Source organism: Homo sapiens, chromosome X (assembly GCF_000001405.40).
Source record: "Homo sapiens chromosome X, GRCh38.p14 Primary Assembly".
NCBI classification, from domain to species: domain Eukaryota; kingdom Metazoa; phylum Chordata; class Mammalia; order Primates; family Hominidae; genus Homo; species Homo sapiens.
The window spans coordinates 85,210,167-85,232,471 of record NC_000023.11 but is presented as its reverse complement, the minus strand read 5'-3'; the positions used below and the strand labels follow the sequence as shown (position 1 = coordinate 85,232,471).

At 37.3% G+C, this 22,305-nt stretch overlaps 1 protein-coding gene and 1 long non-coding RNA gene across 3 annotated transcripts in view; one reads left to right on the top strand and one right to left on the bottom strand.

Moving 5' to 3' along the window:
- The window catches only part of SATL1 (spermidine/spermine N1-acetyl transferase like 1), a 151,496-nt gene that overhangs the window by 11,308 nt on the left and 117,883 nt on the right, over positions 1–22,305 (top strand). For both annotated transcript variants that reach the window (NM_001367857.2, NM_001367858.2), the window contains exon 2: positions 8,146–8,267. The gene's annotated coding sequence lies outside the window, so the exon portion shown is untranslated. The remainder of the gene's footprint in view (positions 1–8,145; positions 8,268–22,305) is intronic.
- On the bottom strand, positions 13,183–21,766 carry LOC101928128 (uncharacterized). Its single transcript, NR_110651.1, has 4 exons — positions 21,561–21,766; positions 20,379–20,461; positions 19,594–19,790; positions 13,183–13,422 (listed from the first exon to the last, which is right to left on the bottom strand). It is a non-coding gene; the product is annotated as an uncharacterized LOC101928128 (long non-coding RNA).

Genomic DNA, 22,305 nt, shown 5'->3' with positions numbered 1-22,305 from the left:
CTTGTTCACTGTGGCTGAACTGGTAGCCATGCTGTGAGGCAAAGTCCCCTTTACACATTCCTCTTCTTTTCTCAAACAAAACAAATCTCTCTCCATAGCCACACCAGCTGGGAATGTGCTGGATTAAGCCAGCACTCGCCACCTTAAGCCAGCACATCTCTGAGTATCACCCAAAACCCACACTGAGTGTTGCCTGGGCACCATTCAGGACCCAAGCGCTGTTTATTCAGCAGATGATTCATCTTGCCAGGACTGGGTTCTTCCCTTTAAGCTTGTGGGTTCTGTTCTGGCCCAGGTTGTGTCTAGATTTTTGTCTGGGAGCCAGGGCTTGTAATGGGGCCTCACAACTTGGCTCAGTGCTCTCTCCTAAGGTGGGTGAGCTGGTATCCAAGTTGCAAGACAACGTCTTCTTTACTCTTCCTCTCCTCTCTTCAAGCAGAAGAAAGGAGTTTCTTTCAGAGCTGTGAGCTGTGTGCCTGGAGTTGAGGGAGTGGTGGTGCAAGCACTCCCTTGGCTGCCCCAGCTAGTGTCTCATTAGGTTGCATGTCCCCCAAGTCCACTAACTCTGAGCCCAGCACAGCAGGAGTACTTGCATAGGAATTGCAGTCCTTATGACCTAGACTGCCTTTCAAGTTTATTTAGATCCCCAGAGCACTTTAGCCCACAGTGGCAAGGCTTTCTGGAACCCAGGTTCCAAGTACTGGGATGGCCTTCTGGCTAGAGCTGGTCTAAATATTCCCTCTGTGGGCACCAGCTGAGTTCTGCCCCATGTCGCTTTTCACTGTGGCAGGAGAGCACTGAGTTCTAATGCAAAGTCTCACAGTCCTTGCACTCTGCCTCCCCCAAGCACACAAGTTCTCTCTTTGCACCACTCTGCCACTGCCCTGGCATGGAGGAGTGGTGGCATTGGGAATTGAAGACTGTTTTTCCTACCTTCTTCAGTGCCTCTTTCAGTGATATGAAGTTAAATCTAGTACTGTGATCCCTTACCTGATTTTTTTGTTCTAATGAAGGTAGCTTTTTGTGTGGATAGTTGTTCAATTTGGTGTTCCCACAGGGAGGATGATTACTGGAATCTTCTATTTGGCCATCTTATTCCACCTCCCACTGAGTTTGAGTATTTTAGATACTGCCTTTAAGTGGAATCATGCAAAATTTATCCTTCTGTGACTAGTTTATTCCTTTTAGCATAATGTCCTCCAGCTTCATCCATATTAATCCAAGTGGCAGGATGTCCTTTATATTCAAGGTTGAATAGTATTCTTTTGTATGCATATACCACATTTTCTTTATCCGTTCATTTGTGGGTATAAATTTAGCTTGTTTCCATCTCTTGGCTACTATGAATAATGTTTCAGTGAACATGGGAGTGCAGGTATCTCTTTCAGATCCTTATTTCAATTCTTTTGGATATATACCCAGAAGTGGGGTTGCTGCATCATATGGTAGCTCTATTTTTAGTTTTTAAAGGAACTTCCATACTTTTTCCATAATGGCCATACCAATATACATTCCCACCAGCAATGTACAAGACTTGCCAACATTTGTTGTGTTTTTATTTTTTAATAATAGCCATTCTAACAGATGTGATGTTACTTCTTACTGTGGTTTTGATATGCATTTCCTGATAACTAAGGATATTGAGCATCATTTCATATATTTATTGGCCATATGTATGTCCTCTGTGGAGAAATGTCTATTCAACTCTTTTGCCTATTTTTTAATTGGGTTATTTGGTTCTTTTGCTTTGTTTTGTTTGCTTTTTATTTGTAAGAGTTTGTTATGTATTTTGGATATTAAACCCTTATCAGATTTAGAAATATTTTCTCTCATTCCATAGTTTGTCATTTCACTCTGTGGACTGTTTCCTTTGCTGTGTAGAAGCTTTTTAGTTTGATGTAGTCCCACTTGTCTATCTTGGTTTTTGTTGTTGCTTCTGCTTTTTGTCTCATATCCAAGAAATAAATGCCAAGACAAATATCATAAAGCTTTTCTCATAGGCATTTTACAGTTTTAGGTCTTATGTTTAAATATTTAATTCATTTATAGTTGATTTTTGTGTATGACATAAAATAAAGAAATGACCAATTTCATTATTTTGCATGTGTATATCTAGTTTTCCCAACACTTCTTCTTGAAGAGATTATCATGTTCTCATTGTGTATTCTTGGCATCCTTATTGAAGATCAATTGGTTGTATATGCATGGTTTTATTTCTACGATATCTATTCTGTTCCATTGGTCTATATGTCTGATTTTATGCCAGTGCATATTGTTTTTATTACTATAGCTTTGTAATATATATTGAAATCAGGAAATGTGATGCCTCCAGCTTTGTTGTTTCTCAAGATTGCTTTGGCTTTTTGGGTTCTTTTTGTGGTTCCATATGAATTTAGGATTGTATTTTTTATTTGTGTAAAAAATGTCATTGGGATTTTGATAGGGATTGCATTGAATCCATAGATCTCTTTGGGTAGTATGAACATTTTAACAATATTAAGTTTTCCAACTCATGAACATAGGATGCCTTTCTATATATTTGTGTCTTTAATTTTTTCATCAGTGTTTTGAAGTTTTCAGTTTAGAAGTCTTTCGCCTACTTTAAGTTTGTATTCAAGTATTTTATTCTTTTAGACGCTATTGTAATTGGAATTATTTCCTTTTCTAATAGTTCATTGTTACTGTATATAAACACAACAGTTTTTGTATGTTAAATCTGTATCCCACAACTTTACTGAATCAGTTTATTAGTTCAAACAATTGTTTTGTGGAGTCTTTACAGTTTTCTAGATATGAGATTATGTCAAGGTAAATTTCTTCTATAACTGATCTGTTGAGACTTTTTTTTTAATTCTGAATGGGTGTTGAATTCTGTCAAATGCTTTTCCTGCTTCTATTGAGATTATAATGTGGTTTTTATACTTATGTTAATGTGTTATATTACATTAAGAGATTTGCATATATTAACCATCCTTGCATATGAGGGATGAATCCCACTTAGTTGTGGTGTATGATACTTTTAATATGCTATTGAATTTGGTTTGCTAGTATTTTGTTGAGAATTTTTGCCTCTTTGTTAATCAAGGATTAATTGCTCTTCAGTTTTCTTTTCTCAGAGTATCTTTGTATGTCTCTGGTATCAGGGTAATGCTAGCCTCATAACATGAATTTGGAAGTATTTCCTCCTCTTCTGTTTTTTGAAAGTATGAGAAGGATTGGTGTTAATTCTTTTTTTAGATGTTTGGTAGAATTCACCAGTGAAGGCATTTGGTCCTGGACTTCTCTTTGCTGGGAGTAGTTTATTAATGATCCAGTGTCTTTCCTGTTTCAGTTTAGTGCCTTTTCATTGTGACTTGAAAAATTCTATTTAGCATTTCACTGGTAGATTGGATGTGGAGTAGAGATAAAGAGAAAAGTCAAAGATGACTCCAAAGTTTTCAGCCTGAGCAAGAGGAAGGATGGAGTTGCTGCCATCTGAAATGGGGAAGTCTATAAAAGTGGAGCAAATTTTTAGTGAGTTCAGCTGTGGATCTAAGTTCACGATGTTTGTTAAATATTCAAGTTGAGTTGGATTTCAGGGGAGAAGTCCAGGATTGAAATACAAAATTTGGAGATCATCAAGAAAGAGTGTATATTTAGAAGAGAAGGACTGAACTCTGGAGAATTGTTAGAAATCATAAAAATGAGAATAAACCAGCAAATAACACTGAGAAGAAGAGAACAACAAGGCAGGAGGAAAACTAGGAGAGTATGATGTTTTGGAAGCCTAAAGAAGTGACCAGTTGCATGGAATGTACTGATAGTTCAAAGAAGATGGGGACTGAGAATTGACCATTGGATTTTGCAACATTGAGGTCATTGGTGACCTTGACAAGAGCAATTTCAGTGGAGTGGTAGGTGTGAAAGCCTAGTTGTAATGAGTTCTATAAAGAATGGGATGAATGGAATTGGAAACTAGAAATCAAGAAAACTCCTTTGAGGGATTTTCTTCTAAAGGAGGCAGAGAAATTGGGCAATAGCTAGAGGGGGCTACAGGGACATCAATAGACATTTTTTTTAAATGTGAGAAATTATAGCACATTTCTATGCTGATTGGAACTGATCCAGTAGAGAAGGGGAAATTAATAGGGCAGATAAGAAAAAAATTACTGGAATGACATCTTTGAATAGGGAGAAGGTATGTGTTCTAGTACACAAATGAAGGAGTCTGCCTTACTTAGGAGTATGGATAATGACAAGAGCAGAGGCAGGATATGCGTGCATTCTTGCAGTTAGGTCAGTTGGAAGTTATCTTCTGATGCTTGTAGAAAATCTCTCCTTTAAGAAATTCATCATTATGGAAGTTCCAAAAATTTATGAAAGTAGAGAATAGATTAATGAACCTAATAGATTAATGAACGTCCATGCTCTCATCACCCAACTTTAACAATTATCTGTTCATGACCTATATTTTGTTCTATAGCCCCCTCTACACTCTTTCCCCTCCCCAGATTATTTTGAAGTAAATCCCATGTATCATATTATTACAACTCTAAGTATTTTATTATATGCCTCTAAAAGATGGTGCTTTAAAAAATATAACCACATCACCATACCTAAAATATTAACAATAATTCCTTAATATTATTATATGTCCAGACCATGTTCCAAATTCCCCAGTTGTCTTTTTATGTTTGTTTGAATTGTAGCCCACATAAAGACCATGTATTGTGATTGATTGATGTGTCTCTTATGTCACTTTTAATCTATAGATGCTCTTTTCATCTACATTACCCAGTTTATTTCTTGATAAAACCGAACCATTTGTCCTGTAGAGTCCCCCACAGTCTGTATTTTGCGATTGCATCCCCTTGGTGACTTTCAACATGTTCTTCTGTTCTCTGTAATTCCTCATTCAGAGGTTTGATGAGATCTGGATATAACGTTTGCAAGAATACTTTATAAATGGTGGTGTATACTTCTATCAAGAGGCACATAATGTCCAGTTGTTTCCCTTGTTGGGATGTTAGCAGCCATTGATAATTTTTGTTTAGATCTATTAATTGATTGGGTGTTTCTGGAATTAGCAGGAATATTTGTAAAAAGAGAAGCATTTCCTCTCTTCTTTTAAGTTATACTTTTGTGCAGTTCAAAGTTTTGTTTGGATTGCTTTAATTTTCTCAGTGAAGTAGTAAGTAAGGGTATCAGGTAGAATGAAGAGAGATAGGAAATATTAGAGATTTTAGGAAGAGAAGGTGTGAAATAGACATCTAAATGAGAGGCAACATGATTGGACTAGAGAGATTCAGTATGATTGCTAGGTAGCAATAAGAGCACAGATGAGGTTCGTGGTCAAGAATTTAACTAAGACCAATAAGTGTGGTTGTATGCTTTTTAAAAATCACCTTCACCTGTATGGAGGTAGGTTAAAGTAGGGAAAGGACTGGCTTTAAGCAGGCTTTGGTTTTGGCAGCTGAACTCAAGCAAGAAAAAGGCAAGAATATTCAGGACATATACAAGGGAGTGATTATGGAATCTGCAGTAGGTAGAGGGGAAAGTGGACATGAGAATGATAAGTTACTGTAAAAAGCTGATAGGGTCCAAAGAATGCATATCTTATAAAGGTTGAAGAATTATAAAAGCCAGGGTGCTAAAAGGAGTGTGCTGGAGAGATGAAAGGTGCTGATTAGATAGTGGAATGTTTAAAATTGAGATTATAGACAGGGAATGAATATAAGAGTGGCTGAGGAAAAGTGGTGGATAGCTCTCTGGAAGAGAGGAGATCAAGGAAATGAGAACCCAATAAATCTGAACATTTATTAATATATATTGATCACCAAGTATTATGACAGTCACTAGGCCAGAACCTAAACTCCTCAAGTAATGAGTAGTATAACTCAATAAGAAGGAACAGTAAAATATAAGCTCCATGTGGACAGGGAATTTTGTCCAGTTTTATCATTGTATCCCTAACCCTTAGAATAATAACTGGCATATAGTAGAGTGTTCAGTACATGATTGCTTTATGAATGAACAACTAAATGACTGAATGACTTGAAATTCAAAGCTAGGGGGCGTTTAAGGAAGACAGAAGGATAATGGCCTGGAAGTGGTAATGAGGTGCAAATAGGACATCTAACCCAACTTTAGGACCATTGATTTGAGGAATACGGGAAAGAAAGCAGTTGCCATTTGGGCTTTAGGGGAAGCAGTGTCTTCATTGGAAAGCTAGAGTTCTTAGAGCAAGTAGGTGAAAGGAATATTTGGAAAAGAGGTTAAGGATATAAATATTTTTTCTGGTGATGGACTGTAAGTTCTAGTAGACACTGCAGGAGAGTTTCAGGAAATGGGGAAGGGTGGGAAATAGGGTCAAAAAATAATGTGCAGAGTTGCATGGGGAATAAAGTGTAGGGATTTGGGATTTCTGGACTTCTTTAGTTGACTGAAGTAAACAGAGATAAAGGACATAATTATATAATTCTAGTAATATCAAAGCAGGTAATGGTTGTGAGACTATGAGTGTGGGGGTTGGGGGAGAGAGAGATGAGGGTCCTGCAAGGAATGCAGAAAGCTATGAGGCCAGTTCTTCATTCATGTAATAAAAAGATCAAGACCAGGGAACAGGGGATAGCTCCCTCCTAATTCCTGGAGCACAAGGGGCTCTGGATTCCTTTTTGATTCCTGTGTATCATAGGGTTGAATGCCAGAAATCTCTTTTGACTACCACTAAAGGAGAACGTCAGAGAAAAAGAGATATTTCTTGCATATGAACTTTGTGCTTCAGCCATACTTGAATTACTTGAAGTTCCCTCAGTACACCATGTTCTCTTATATCTCTTTGCCTGCTGATCCCTCTTCCTGGTTTATCTCCCATCCATCCCCCATCTATCCAGAATGCTTCTACTCATTCTTCACGACTTAGCTTAAGTATCTCTTCCATGCAGTCTTTCTGCCTTTGCATATTTAAGGAAAATTTAGGGACTTCCTCCTGTTGTATTCCTTAGTACTCCATAAATATATCATCATCTTGACATTTAATTTTTGTTGAATTTTTACTGGGATAGTGTGGATTCACATGCAGTTGTAAGACATGATACAGAAATATTCCATGTACCATTTACCCGGTTTCCCCCAATGGAACATCTTGTAGAACTTTAATTCAGTATTACAGTAAGATTGACATTGACACAATTCACCCATGTTATTCCAATTTCCCTAGTTTTATCTGTAGTTGTGTGTGTGTATTTGTTCTATAAAATGTTATATGTGTAAGTTCATGTATCCACTACCACAGTCAAGATACAGAACAATTTCATCACTGCAAGGATCCGTTTTGTTGTCCTTTTGTAACCACACCTACTTTTCTCCCACCCCCCTAACTCAATCTCTGACAACCACTAATCTGTCCTCTTTGTCTAAAATTTAGTCATTTCAAAGTATTATAAAAATGGAGTTACAGTATGGAACCTTTGGGGATTGTCTTTTTTTCACTTAGCATAATCTTTGGGGATCCATTCAGGTTGTTGTATGTATGTATAGCTCATTCTTTTTATTGTTGAGCAGTGTTACATTGTATGGATGTTTCATGGTTTGTTTATTCATTCACTAGTTGAAGGAAAAGTGTCTCCTTTCCAGTTTTTGGCTGTTACAAAGAAATCTTCTATTTGTATACAGTGCAGGTTTTTGTGGGAATGTAAGTTTTCCTCTTTTTTTTTTTTTTTTTTGATATATACTCATGAGTGGAATTGCTGAATATAGTGGAAGGACCAGGGACTTAAAGGGTAAGTCCATCTCCTCTTATCAGAAAGGCAAAAACTTTCCTGAAATCCTCTCACTATCACACTTCCCCTTCAATCTCATTGACCAGAACTAGTGGCAATGGAGTCTGTAAAAAAGGAACAAGCTTAGATATTTCAAACAAAATTTGAATTCTGTTAGTAAAGATTAAAGGGATATTTGTGATGAAATTAATAGTGCCTGCTAAAATGTCAATGTCTCAGAATGAAAGAAGCTGAATAGAAAAAAATTTTATCATAGGAATAATAGTAGGCTGAATGGTGGTCCTCAAAAAGATATGTCCATGCTCTAATTCCTGGGATCTGTAAACATTACTTATGTGACAAAATATGTGATTAAGTTAAATAAAGATCTTGCTTATCTGTTAAGATACAGGCAGAAGAGGAGACATAGACACACACAGAGGAGAAGATGATGTGAAAAGGGAGGCAGAGATCACAGTGGTGTGGCTACAAGCCAAGAAATACCGAAGCCATCAGAAGTTGGAAGAGGTAAGGAATGGATTTTCCCCTAGAGCCTCTGGAGGGAGCGTGACCCTGCTGACACCTTGATTTAAAACTTCTGGCCTCCAGAACCGTGAGAGAATAAATAGCTGCTGTTTTATGTAACCCAATTTGTGGTAATTTGTTATGGCAGCCACAGGAAACTAATACAATAGTTAAGAGCACTGACATTAGAGTCAGATCTGAATTCAAGGTCTTCCTTTGCCACTTATCGGAACTAGGAGTGTTCCTTTTGATCTCCTCCTCAACTCCTGACAAAAATAATTGCTCTGATGGTCATTATCTAGAAGTATTTTTTTCCCTGCTCCCCTAGTCCATTACTTCAGTCACTCCTATTTTTGTCTCTATAGGTTCAAGCCTTGCACACATGTTGAAAACTATTCTGAGTTACTCTGGGCAGGAAACCTGTGGAAAGCTCCTGCCTGTAAAGGAGTTTGGCACAGTACCAGGCTTCTCTCTTGCTGCTGATCCCTATGCCTATCACACGGATCCCATAATTACATAGCAACCTTTTGTGGCCTTGACTTTGGTCTAGGATTTTTGTTCCCAGTCAGCAAGCCTGGGTTTCTGGTCTCTGCTAATTGTCCTCCTAGATCTGACCCACTTTCTGGACCTAGGCTTCTTATCTTGGCTCATCATCCAGGATTCGGATGATGCAATATCATTTCTGGAAGGGAACCAAGAGGTCATCTAATCTAACCCCTTCACTTTAGAGACAGAAACTGAAAACTTGACTTCATCTTTCTTCTTGGCTCTATCATATCTTCTGTCTTCTCTTGGCCTTAACTAATATCTTTTTTGAGGTCATATGAGAAAAAAAATTCTGCCATACTCATATCCTTTTTCCAGTCTAATGAAATTCGCAGCCAGGCACTTACCCAACACTACCAAGTCTCTAAATTACAAGTGTCAGTAGCAAAAACTTTGTGATAAAGGAAATGGGATAATTCCTAACAAAACATTCTTACTGTGACAGTATCTCAACCAGATGATATAAAAGCACAAACTTTGGACACATACTACTAGGCCAGTCATAACTAAATATACAATATGCTGAAAACATCTATTAAAATAAAAGCTTAGCCATAGAAGAAAGAGGGAAAATTCCTCTGAAACTGTTAAAAATCTCAGAAGGGATGAATATTCCTTCAGAAAACAGCTCGAACAACTTTGTGTATAAGACTATAACATTGTAGTTATATCAAGGCCATTCTAAAAGAAAAGTTACTGTGTATAAACGTATAATCTTAGCTACTAGAGACTTCTAGTTAGAAGAGTAATACCAAGTGGAATATTTCATTTTTTAAGAATTCAGTAAAAAGATTCTCTCCTAGTGGAGAAGAACCTATTTATGGGAGTACCTACCATCTTAGCATATTGTTATCTTTGCTACTACCTTTTGTCACTCTCCTCTACTTGTAAGAAGCAAAGGATGTAAGGACTTATGATTGTTGCTTGGCAGTGTCAGAAAGGCAAACCAAACACATCTTTGAGCTTAGCAGGAAGCAATTAAAATCAAAATTACCTTTGTCACTATGAGATAGATGTAGGAATCAACAAACAGACCTGATTGTAATTAGGTGGTTAGATCAGGCAGTCCAGGTGGCATACATCAGAGTAGACAGGATTGGAAAGAATAAATTCTTTCTCTCTCTTTCTCAAAATATATATATTTCAAATATATATGTATATTGGGCAAAGTTTGGAAAAGTCAGGTAAGACAGGTATATTCAAACATAGACTATAAGTTCAAACATAAGATTTGTTCCCTGGAGTGCAGAGAGCACCTACGGAAGAAACCTTTGTCCACTTTAGCCTTATTCCTGTACTAGGCTATAGCAGATAATAGTTATGATTTCTTGACTAATCACTATTTGCTGGGCACTGTCTCAAGTGTTTTACATGTCTTATTTAATCCTCATAACAGCCCTATGGAGTACAGACTGTTATTCTCACTTTAGAGAAGATGAAACAGAGATAAAGGATAAGTCATTTGCCCAATGTCCCACAGCTAGGAAGTGTGGAATCTGGAATTTCAATGCAGCAGGCTCACTACAGAGTTGTTTAAGCTGTTAACCACTGTGCTAGATTATCTCCTATATATAACTATGCCTTTGACCATCCTTGGTCTTCTCCTACTCTGACTCTAGAACTTACAATAGCAGCCTCTGACAATTTATGAAGTTTTCAGTGCATACAGACAAAATCTCTAACCACCCAGACCCTGTTCTTAGGCCAGCCTCAGCATCAAGAGGCTAAAACTCTGAACACTCAATGTCTATTCCTGCTTAGACTGATAGGAGCCAGTTAGAGCTTGGTCTTGTGTTGTATTAAACACCTACAGAAGTCCTACCACCCAGGGTCTGGCCCTACATGATTCTCAGTATAAATAAAGGAGTCTTTCAACAACTGGAAGCTTGTTTCTATTCTGGACTATGTGACATTCACAGAAAACTTTCAACCAACCAGGAACTCTTTCATGGGCAGCCTAACTTAGAGGTTTTTTTCTGGGATAGCCACATCTTCCATAGAAGTGTCTGAATTCCAAAGACTTATTTATAATCAGGTTATCCAGGCAGAGAGAAATGACATGCAGGAAGGCTCTAAAAGAGAAACCAAAAGTCAAGTATGACTAGAGCACATAGCAAGATGGAGAGTGGTAAGTGAAGTAAGTGAAGAAATTGGAAAAAAATATACTGTTCCTAGTTACAGAGTTTTGAATCAGGCTGATTGTGTTTGAATCCTGGGCTCTGACACTAATTATGGGGCTTTGCACAAGTTACTAAACTACCTAAAGCCTCGATTTCCTCATTTGTACATGGGAAAAATAACAGTACCTACCTCATAGTGATGGGAGGATGGCATAAGATTGCATGTAAAGTATTGTGTGCTTACATCATAGTAAGTATTCTTATGAATATCACACAGTAACACACAAACACATACATGATATAGATGTAGATATGGATGTAAATATAGATAGAGACAGAAAGACAGAGTGACAGAGACCCGATATCTTGGGGTCTTAGAGTGCCTTGTGATCCATGGTGAGAACTTGCAATTTTATTCTAAGGTAATTGGAAGCTATTGAAGAGGTTTAAGGAGAAATATAACAAGACTAGGCATGTATATTAAAATATTACCGTAGCTGTACTGTGGCAATAGGATTGGACTGAGGCAAGTGTAAGATATGGGGGGACCAACTGGGTGTCAGTTACAATTGTCCAGGGAAAAGGTGGTGGTATTTCAGACGATGATAGTGTCAGAATGAATAGAGATAATGGTAGGAGAGGGGACATATTTGAGATCTATTTAGGAAGTAGAAGGGACAGTGACTGGTGAGCACTTAATTTCTTTTTCTCTCACTTAATTTCTTTTTCTCTTTTTTCTTTTCCTAATTTCCCCTTCTCCACCCCAGGGAATTAAGGAGAGATGACTGAAGAACAGGACCAATAGTTGACAGATCATGTAGGACACTGTGTGATGCATCTTAGATCCAGGAGAGTTTTTTTTTTTTTTTTTTTTTTTTTTTTTTTTTTTTTTTTTTTAACACAGAAGTGCTGCCTGGGAGCTAGGGCCTGGAACAGGGTCCTTATGACTCTGATCGGTGCCCTATGCTGCTGTGGCTGAGCTGGTATCCAAAATGCAAGACAAAGTCCTCTACATTCTTCCCTCTCTTCACCTCAAGAGGAAGAAAGGGGTCTCTTTTGGAGCCACAAGCTGTACAGCGGAGAGTTTAGGGGAGGGATGATGCCAGCACTCCCTTAGCTGCTCCCACTGATGTCTCAGCAGGTCATATGCGCCCTCAGACCACTGTTTCTGGGCCCAGTTCAGCACTAGGACTTAAGAGTTGTAGTCCCTGTGGCCTAGACTGCCTATCAAGTTTGCTTTGAAATCCAGAGCACTTTGGCCCTGGGTGGCAAGGTCTGCACGAACTCAAGTTCCACCCATTGGGATACAAGATTCCCCTCTGGCTAGGACTGGTTTAAATGCTCCCTCTGTGGGTGGGTGTCAGCTGAGTTTTATTCTGTTTTCCTTTCTGCTTTAACAGGACAGCACTGAGTTTGATGCCTCACAATTGTTGTGCTGTCCCTTCCCCAATGCCCAGAGATGCTCCACTCCACACTGCTGCTGGGGAGTTGGGGAGAGGTAGTGTCAGTGATTCAAGGTGTTTTTTTTTTTTTTTCTATCTCTTCAGTATTTCTTTCAGTAACATGGAGTTAAAAACCAGGTACTATGAGGGCTCACCTGAATTTCGGTTCTTATATGGGTGTTTTTTTCTGTGTAGATAGTTGTTAAATTGGTGTCCTTGCTGGGGGTAATGTGCAGCGATTGGTGGAGCCTTCTATTCCACCATCTTGCTCCACTCTGAGTACCCTTTAAATAAAGGAGGGATAAAGGAAGAGAAGAAGGAATGAAGGAAGAAAGGAAAGAAGGAGTCAGGGGCCCAGGTTATGGGATCATTCTACAGCACCAATCAGTTTACAGAAATCATTTAGCAATTCTTAGTTTATTTTATGGAATTTATTCATAATGAAATTACATATTTCAAATAAAACTCCTTATTTAGATATGATGCTTTTCTGTAACTCCTTAGCTTTAGCCAGTAACTAATAAAGTACTCAATATTCTCTTTGACCAATTTTCAATCAATCGTTTATGCATTTCACTGAGCACTTTATAAAGATGCATGTCATAAACCAGTTTGCAAATGTTATGCTGCATTTTGGTGATAATAAACATCTGCCATCCCTACTTAGTTAATGAAGTTAGATATTGGAAATGACAGTTTTGTTCAGGAGTCATAGAGTGAGAGAGGGGGAAAAGAAAAAGTTCAAGGTATGAAGAGATAAGAAGTGATGGCATAAATGCAGAAAGAGAAGTAAAGTGTTTAAAGCATAGATAATTCATACTCACAGTGTTTTATTAAAGTATTCTGAGTATGTTTTTAAAATGATCAGATAGCCATATAGTACACATATATGTGTTTTTCCACAGAAAACTTAATATTAGATTTCAATTGCACATGTTCTATCCTATAAGGAATTTCTGACTCTTCTCACGGTTCATAACTTGAGTATCCAATGTGTTGTTTCTCTCTTTGAATGTAGCTTGATTTTGGAACTCCTGGTGTAGAAAAACTCTGCAAATAAGTGAAAAATATCGAATGTAATTAAATGGCATTTAATACAATTTTTATTCTCATTCAGATATGCTTATGTTTAGTTATTTTAGAAATCTATTTAATCACTCTCAGAAATCTGTAGTGATTTAAAACAACACATGAAAATATCTTATTTTAGTAAAATAATTCCTGGCTGCTTTCAAATAACCATTAAATACTTGTAAAATAGTTCCTTCATACTGGTTTAGATATTGGGCAATCCAGTTTCCATACTAAAGTAAAAAGCAAACATTACAGGAGAAAATTTACATAAGAAAAGCAAGTATTTCTTTTTTTTATCATACTATAGTACCAAGGTCCATACTCTAGTATTGCACAATTGTGAATGTTAGTACTGTACTAACACAAAATTAAATTTGTTGCTTTTATGAAATATTCCATTTGTCTTTTTTGTATGATCATATGCACACATTTTAAAATACATGACTAATTGTTTTCACAGCATATGTTATCATAACATTATTTATGTCACATAAGCAGAGTTTCGTCTCGGCATAGAATTGTTTTATGATAGAGGTTCATGCTAAAACTTAATTTCCCCAGCATAACATGTTACTTTTTGGCAATTAAAAATCTCCATTCATAAATTTACTTTTCTATTCCAGGGACCATAAGGAAACATGTCCCTGAACATTTAAAAATGTCATTTTAAAACAGATCTGAGAAAGTATGAATCTGTAGGCCTTTATTTTAAGATTTTTTTTTAACTGAATGGAATATTTTATTTTTTTAAGTTTTATTTTAAGTTCAGGGTTATATGTGAAGGTTTGTTATATAGGTAAACTGTGTGTTACAGCGATTTGGTGTACAGATTATTTTGTCACCCAGGTAATAAGCATAGTACCCAATTGGTGGGGTTTTTTTTTTATCTTCTCCCTTCTACTCTCCACTCTAAAGTGATCCCCAGTGTCTGTTGTTCCCCTCCTTGTGTCCATGAGGTCTCATTGTTTACTTCCCACTTATAAGTGAGAACATGCAGTATTTGTTTTTATATTCCTGCATTAGTTTGCTTAGGATAATGGTGAGAATTTTTTATATTTACTGAAAAACATTATACTGGCTATCTTCTCCATTCATACAAGAATGGTTCAAAACTTTAAAATATATATATTTGTTGCCCACCATTTTGTGGCAGGCACTGCCTCTGATTAGAGATTAGAAGGTGTTTCAGAAGGAGTTTGGGGAATTATAGTCAGAGAGATAGGCAGACCACTAGGAGAGTATTAGCCTGAAAGTGTTCAGGAAACATTAAGTATCAAATATCTATAGAGAGATCAGATAAGGTGAAGTCTTAAAATAGGCTTTTGGATTTGATATCTAACATATTACTGGGACACTCAGTGAGAGCAACTTTAACAATGTGCTTTAACAGAATGCTGAGCTTGGTTACCATGTATCCTTGAAATAAAAGTACAGTGAGAGCTTTGTTGGGGAAAAGTTTAATTTGTTAGCAGAGACTGAGATGAACCTTTTCCACGGCTTTTCCTAAGGAACTTTAGGCACATTCTTTCTTGTCTTGGGCACTATCTTTCCCTTATCAATATCCATGTCACTTCAACTTTTTGTCTTATTTTGCCTCTTCCACCTCCAATCCTGCCCCTACTTCTTGGAAATTACTACCACTACTTTTTGACTGAGGTAGCTACAAAAAACAGCTCTGACTCACTTCTTTTTTGAGTCTCTTATCCACCTCTTGTACCAATATTGCTTTGCTTTTGGTGGCTATAATTAAGGGTAATACTGATACACACACTGCACCACAGGTGATTGCATCACCCTTGTCATTCTCTCTCACTACCCTCTGAGCTTTTATTTTGTAGTACTTATCACAATTTTTAATTATATACATATTCACCTGTTTAATGTATGTTTCCCTACACTATAGTATAGTTCCATAGGTCAAGACAATAACGTTTTTCATCATTGTTTAAATACCACAGGTCTTGGCACATACTAGGCACCAGTAGGTTTAACGAATTGGTTGAATGAATGAAAAAGTTACATTCCTCAATTAGTTTCATTCAGTTTTAAAAGATTATCTGACCCAGGCTTTCTATAACCTTTAAGGGTCACCATTTTTCCCCTGTTCACCTAGTCTTCTAGGAAAAAGCTGAGCTATTCAATTTTAGTCCTCTTTAAAGGGTAAATTGTTGATTATGTGGACACACACATTGAATGACGCCCTCAATGAGCTACATCGATTGCATAAACCCCTTCTCTGGAGCATAGGAAGAACCTGTGACTTGCATCTGGCCAATATGGAGAAAATGATAGGGAATATCAATACAATAGTTACTCTCTTGAATACATTGTTATTTAGGACTCCATCCTAGCAGAATGGAGCTAGCCATTCTTCTGCTGGCCTTGAAGAGATAAACTGCAATATTGTGAGAGGGTCTATCAGAGGGCCCTGTAGCAACTGCAAGTGGCTTCTAGGAGCTGACAGTGGCCTTTAGATGACAGCTAGCAAGGAAAAGGGTAGGAAAGAGAATGAAGTTCTATAGTTGCAAGGAAGTGGATTCTCCCAACAAATGCATGAGCTTGGGAGAGGACCCAAACTCCAGATGAGAATGCAGTCTGCTTGACACCTTGATCACAGCATTGAAAGACCCTGAGTGGAGGACCCAGATAAGCCATATTCAGACTCCTGATTCATGGTGCTATAGTTTGGATAACTGACCCCTCCAAATCTCATGTTGAAATTTGATCTCCAGTGTTGGAGGTGGGGCCTAGTGGGAAGTGTTTGGGTCATGGGGGCAGATTCCTCATGAATGATTTGGTGCCATTCTCTCAGTAGTGAGTTCTCAGTCCATTAATTCCCATGAGGGCTGGCTGTTAAAAAGAGCCTGTCACCTCCCTGCTCTTGCTTCCTTTCTCACCATGTGATTTATGTACATGCCAGCTTTCCTTCATTTTCTGCCATTAGTGGAAACAGATTGAGGCTTTCACCAGACTCCCGGTCATCTAGCCTGCAGAATCATGAGCCAAGTAAACCTCTTTTCTTAATATTACCTAGCATTAGGTATTCCTTTATAGCAAAACAAAAACAGACCAAGACAGAAAGTTGGTACCAAGGGTGGGGCATTGCTATAAAGATACCTGAAAATGTGAAAGCAGCTTGGGAACTGGCTAATGGGCAGAAGTTAGAAAAGTTTGGAGCACTCAGAAGAAGACTGGGAGACAGGTGAAAGTTTGGAACTTCTTAGAGATTCGTTGTGGTTGTGAGCAAAATGCTCATAGAAATATAGACAGTAAAGGCCATGCTGATGAGGTCTCAAATGGAAATGAGCAACTTAATGGTAACTGGAGAAAGGTCATTGTGACACTGTAGCAAAGAACTTGGCTGCATTGTGTCCATGCCCTAGGGCTTTGTGGAAGGCTGAACTTAAGAGTGATGACCTAGGGTATCTGGTGAAAGAAATTTCTAAGTAGCAAGGCATTCAAGAGTGGCATGACTACTTTTAACAACTTACAATATTATCTGGGAGTAAAGGGATGACCTAAAGTTGAAATTTATGATTAGAAAGGAAGCAGAGTGTAAAAGTCTGGAAAATTTGCAGCCTGGCCATGTGATAGAGAAGAAAAGAGTGTTTTCAGGAGAGGAATCCAAGGATGTTGTGGAACTACCACTTGCTAAAGAGATTACCATGACTAAATGGAAGCCAGGCGCTAATAGTCAAGACTATGGGTAAAAGGCCCAATCACAGGCCCAGAGACCTAAGAAGACAGAATGGTTTTGGGAGCCAGGCCCAGGTTCTGCTGTCCTGTGCTGTCTCAGGATGTTCCTTCCTACATCCCCACCACTTCGGCTCCAGCTGTGGCTCAAAGGGCCCCAGGTACTGCTCAAGCTACTGCTCCAGAGGACGCAAGCTGTAAGCCTTGGTGGCATGCATATGGTGTTATATCCACAGGTGCTCAGAATGCAATAGGGGTTGGAGTCCCCACAACTGGTGCCTACTAGGGCAGTGCTACCACCCTCCAGACTCCAGAATTATAGAGCCCCTGGAAGTGTGCGACTGCAGCCTCGTAAAACTGTAAGCATTGGACTGCAACCCATGAGAGCAGCCACGTGGGTGCACCTAGCAGAACCATGGGAGTGGAGCTTCTTGAGGTCTTCACAGCCCACCCTGCCTACCAGTGTGCCCAGGATGCAAGACATGGAGTCAAAGTAGATTATCTTGGAGCTTTAAGATTTGATGTCTGCTCTGCTGGGTTTTGGAATTGTGTAGGGCTTATTCCCCCTTTCTTTTGGCTAATTTCTCCCTTTTGGAATGGGAATATTTACTGAATGCCTGTACCACCATTGTGCCTTGGAGTTAAATAACTTGTTTTTTAATTATACAGGCTCACAGTTGTAAGTAAATTGCCTTGAGTCTCAGATAGGACTTTGAACTTTAGATTTCTGAGTCGATGCTGGAACAAGTTAAAGTTTTCGGGAACTATTGGGATAAAATTATTGTATTTTGCTTGTGAGAAGGACATGATACTTAGGCGTTCAGGGGTAGAATGCTATAGTTTGGATATTTGACCCTTCCAAATCTCATGTTGAAATGTGATTCCCAGTTTTGGAGGTGAGGCCTAGTGTGTCATGGTGGTTGATTCCTTATGAATGGCTTGGAGCCACTCTCTCAGTAGTAAGTGACTTCTTCCTCTATTACTTCTCATGAGAGCTGACTGTTAAAAAGAGCCTGGAAATCTCCTTGTATCCTCTCTTGCTACGTGATCTCTGCACATGCCAGCTCCTTTTTGCCTTCTACCATGAGTGGAAGCAGCCTAAAGCCCTCACCAGAAATAGATGTTGGTGCCATGTTTCTTGTACAGCCTGCAGAACCATGAGACAAATAAACTTTTCATTTTTATAAATTACTCAGCCCCAGGGTTTTTTATAGTAACACAAAATGGACTAAGACACACAGAAACTGTGAGATAATAAGTATGTGTTTTTATAAGTTGACAAGTCTGATAATTTGTTATGCAGCAATAGGGAACTAATACACAGATCAAAACTGATTCTGAAGCCACCTACATTTAAGACCGGCCAGCTTCCCCTCTATATTCTCAATATTACCCTTTCCTCTTTTCTTACTGAGGTTTTCTCTTTTTGAGTTTCCACATGTATTGACCCAAAATGAGTTCAGTGCCATTCTCTCTTATTTAATTCTCTTAATGATTTTACATGTCTCATGAAAGTTCTTTTTTTTCAGTTCTATCTTTCATCACTTGTCCTCATAGATGATATATCTTTCCTAATATATGCTAAGTACATTAGAAAAACCTGTTTTTATTCAATCACACAGCTGGCATTTTGTCTTACTGCATAATCAAAATCCTTAAAACTACAAATCTGTGTTTCCTTAATTTATCACTGTGAGGTCACTCATTAATTCACAGTGCGGTTTTTTGGAGGAATGTTATTTTGCTATGCGGTCAACCAAAAATGTCCCCCTCTCAAAAGAACCACAACTTATTATGTTAACAAATACCAGTTATCCATTTTTGGTGAACTAGCTCCATTTTTCTATAATTCATTGCACTTATCAAGAAAATTCATAAAGATAACTTTCTGCTGATAATCTGTTTTGCTGTTTTCTCTGATTGATATTTTTAAACACTTCTACAAGGAAATACTTTGCATTCTATGTTATTTGTTAACATGTCTTATAGCTAGTGATCAGTAATTAGCTAGTGTTCAACATTACCTTGAGCAATGTACTATTTAATGTATTATTTAAGTGGACTGAAACACAAAATGGCAGTTGCCTTGCTAAATTATGGTAATTTAATGACTTCAAAAACATAAGACCTTTCTCATCTCTGGGTTAACCAGTCTAATGGCATTTAATCAGTTTTCATTTGATCTGAAATCTCCTTCTAAAGATTCAAATTTAAATATACATTATGAATACTTATATATAGGTATGTTAATACGTATTAAGTATTATATATACTATACATTTGGTTCATATTTCCTAATCCCATTTTACAAAATAAAATAGTAATGACAGTGAGTCATATAAACTAAACTTCCTGAACATTTGTCTTGAAGTTTGTCTAATTCTGCCTGACATAATTTGTCTAATTCTATCATATCATTTTGCTATAGTGAGGTCTTAGTATTTATTATATTACCTTTACTTGAATTATTACGTTGATAACCATATATGGAGATTGAGATGCATAATACATACAAAGAATGGCTTCATTTGCGTGGTTGATAAATGCTTGTTCCCATAATTTGCTTAGGTTTTATTGTTCCTTGAGAGCCACATCAGTCATAAGATGGGTAGACGTAAAGACTGTCCTGTTTGGACTCATGAGTCATAAGGCTATTTTAAATGAAAAAAAATAAAATAAATATTATAGGATACTTTAAAAACTCAATCATAAAGTGTTACGTGTTATGAAATCGAATGTTATGACTATATTCTGTGGGAAACGAATAAATGAAGTCATTCAGAAGTTACATTAGATTGACATAGCAGACATAACAAAATAATGGCATTCTCATAAAACTGAAATAATGAAACAGTTCTCTTTTTATTCTATTTCTCACTCAAACTAGGGTTCTTGTTAAGGAATATTTTCTGTGTTCTTTCTCAGGATGTCTGATAAATTACTATGATACTTAAATAAATGAAGTACAATTTTTAAAATCTTACAGATTAATTTTAGTCAGTACTGACTTTTTTCTCAGGAAATGTGTAAAAGAGCTATCTTCTGCTCTAATATAATCACAATTATGTAGATATTCACAGTAAGAAACATTGTTATCTCTATGTTCTGTTCCCTGAAACCCTACCTTCTACCAAAAGATAAGTACATAAAACTATCTACTAAAATTATTCCCAAATAACATTCTGCTTTCTCTCTTTTTAGTATTTACATGCTTTAACATCTCTTTTAAGGTAACTTACTTGTAATTTATTCCAGAGAACCGAGGAAGTGGAGATACAGTTCTTCTGGGAAGGGCCCTCTGAAGGGATGAGCTCCAGAGATTCTGCACATTGATTTTTTGAGGGAAGAGAAGAAATGGTTAGCCATGATTTTAGGGAAGTTTGAAATATAATATATAATAGCTCACATTAATTCTACATTCTAATCTTTAAATATCAAGATAGCTCCAGGACTAATCTTTGGAAATGACAAATAAAGGTAATTGCTAAAGGGAAAATGTTTATATATTATATTGACCACATAGCAAGTCTCTTTCTATTTCTATCTATCTGTCTATTGTTTGCCTATCTATCTATCTGTCGTCTTCATCACCATCATCATCTATCTATATAGGGATATCGAATGGCCCACTGAAGAGTAAGTGCAAATTGAAGATACGTTTCAGTCACCACTCTAAGCAGTAAGTGACCTTTCCATCCAAAAGGGTTAAACTTAAATCCCCCTTCCCATTGTCATAGTTTGAAAAACACGTATCTCTAGAGGAAACACAGAAGACAAAAATAACTCAGGCAGCAAATACTTAGGTTGAATACAGAGACCTGCAACATCAAATAGCCACAACATATTCTAGAGGGTTTTGGAGGGAAACTAATCCATACAAATCAACTGATAAAGACTTGGTACTTAAAGACCATACTCTGAGTCAATACATAAGTAAAGACTAAATTGCAAGAATATGGGCATTGAAGCAAGAATTTGGCATTTAAAACAGACATTAGGCATATAATATTGGATCCAAACAAGATCTACACAGAACCTATTCTTGTAGCCACACCAGTTAAGAGTATGTACATATACAATATGTATTGTATGTATGTCTATGTATATACATATTATGACATGATCATTTTGATTGATTGATTTTGAAATCAAATGTATTTTTACGTAGCCACTTTGATAACAGTTATTTTTCCATGAGGAAATTTGATGCAGTCTATAAAATAATTCATTGCCCTTTGATTTAAAAAGATTAAATAGTTTGTGAAATTATATACCATGAACTACTCCTAAGTTTCATCTAATGCCCACAACCACCCTTGAGGGGTAGAGATTCTTAGATTGGTAATGATATCAAGGGTAAGATAGAGGTTAAGTATTATATGAAAAGACAAACCGATACAAACAGGAAAAAAAAGACAGACCCAGTATGTGTCCTCTGTTGTTTAGATACTCTTTTTTTGTCTTTCAGCTCTCCTATTCTGCCTCTTTTCTGCAATCTTCTTTATAATAAAACAGAAAATTACAATAAAACAAAGAGAAAACCATGACTTTTGAAGTGTGAGTTCAATGAAGATTGGCAAGAAAGCTTCACATGTGCCTACGGCCAGTCCCTCTGACCTTTGCTTCCTGTTGTCATAGTGGGCAGAATCAAGGGTTCCAGACCATTCCATGTTCTTAAAGGGGCCACCTTTCCTTCCATGGTGGACTTAATTTCATTGGTCTAGGCTTCTTTCTCTTATCAGGCAAGAAAGAGTAGTATATCTGTTGGGATGAAACAAGGCCTATATAAAATTTGGATTTGGGGGACCTAAACACAGACTCTTTAGCTTCAGCAGTGTGGATGTGTTAGGGAGGATTCCTTTGGAAGCAGTAAGGGTCTCCAAATGTAGAGGGATGGCTGTGTGCCTCCTTTTTTTTTTTTTTTTTTTTTTTTTTACCAGTTTGGACCGAATTTAAACTTATTAATCCAAACCCAGTCCTTGATCCAACTAGGTAGATATAGAAAATTGTTCTAAGCAAAACTTAAAGAGTAGAAAATTATAAAGTAGATGGCAGGGCCAAAGAGTAACGGCAATGGTGAGATTATTTTTGAGATCCGGTCTCAGAAAGAGTGGCGATGGTAGTGGCTATAAGAGTGTGGCACTCCACTCATATGTGCACATGAGG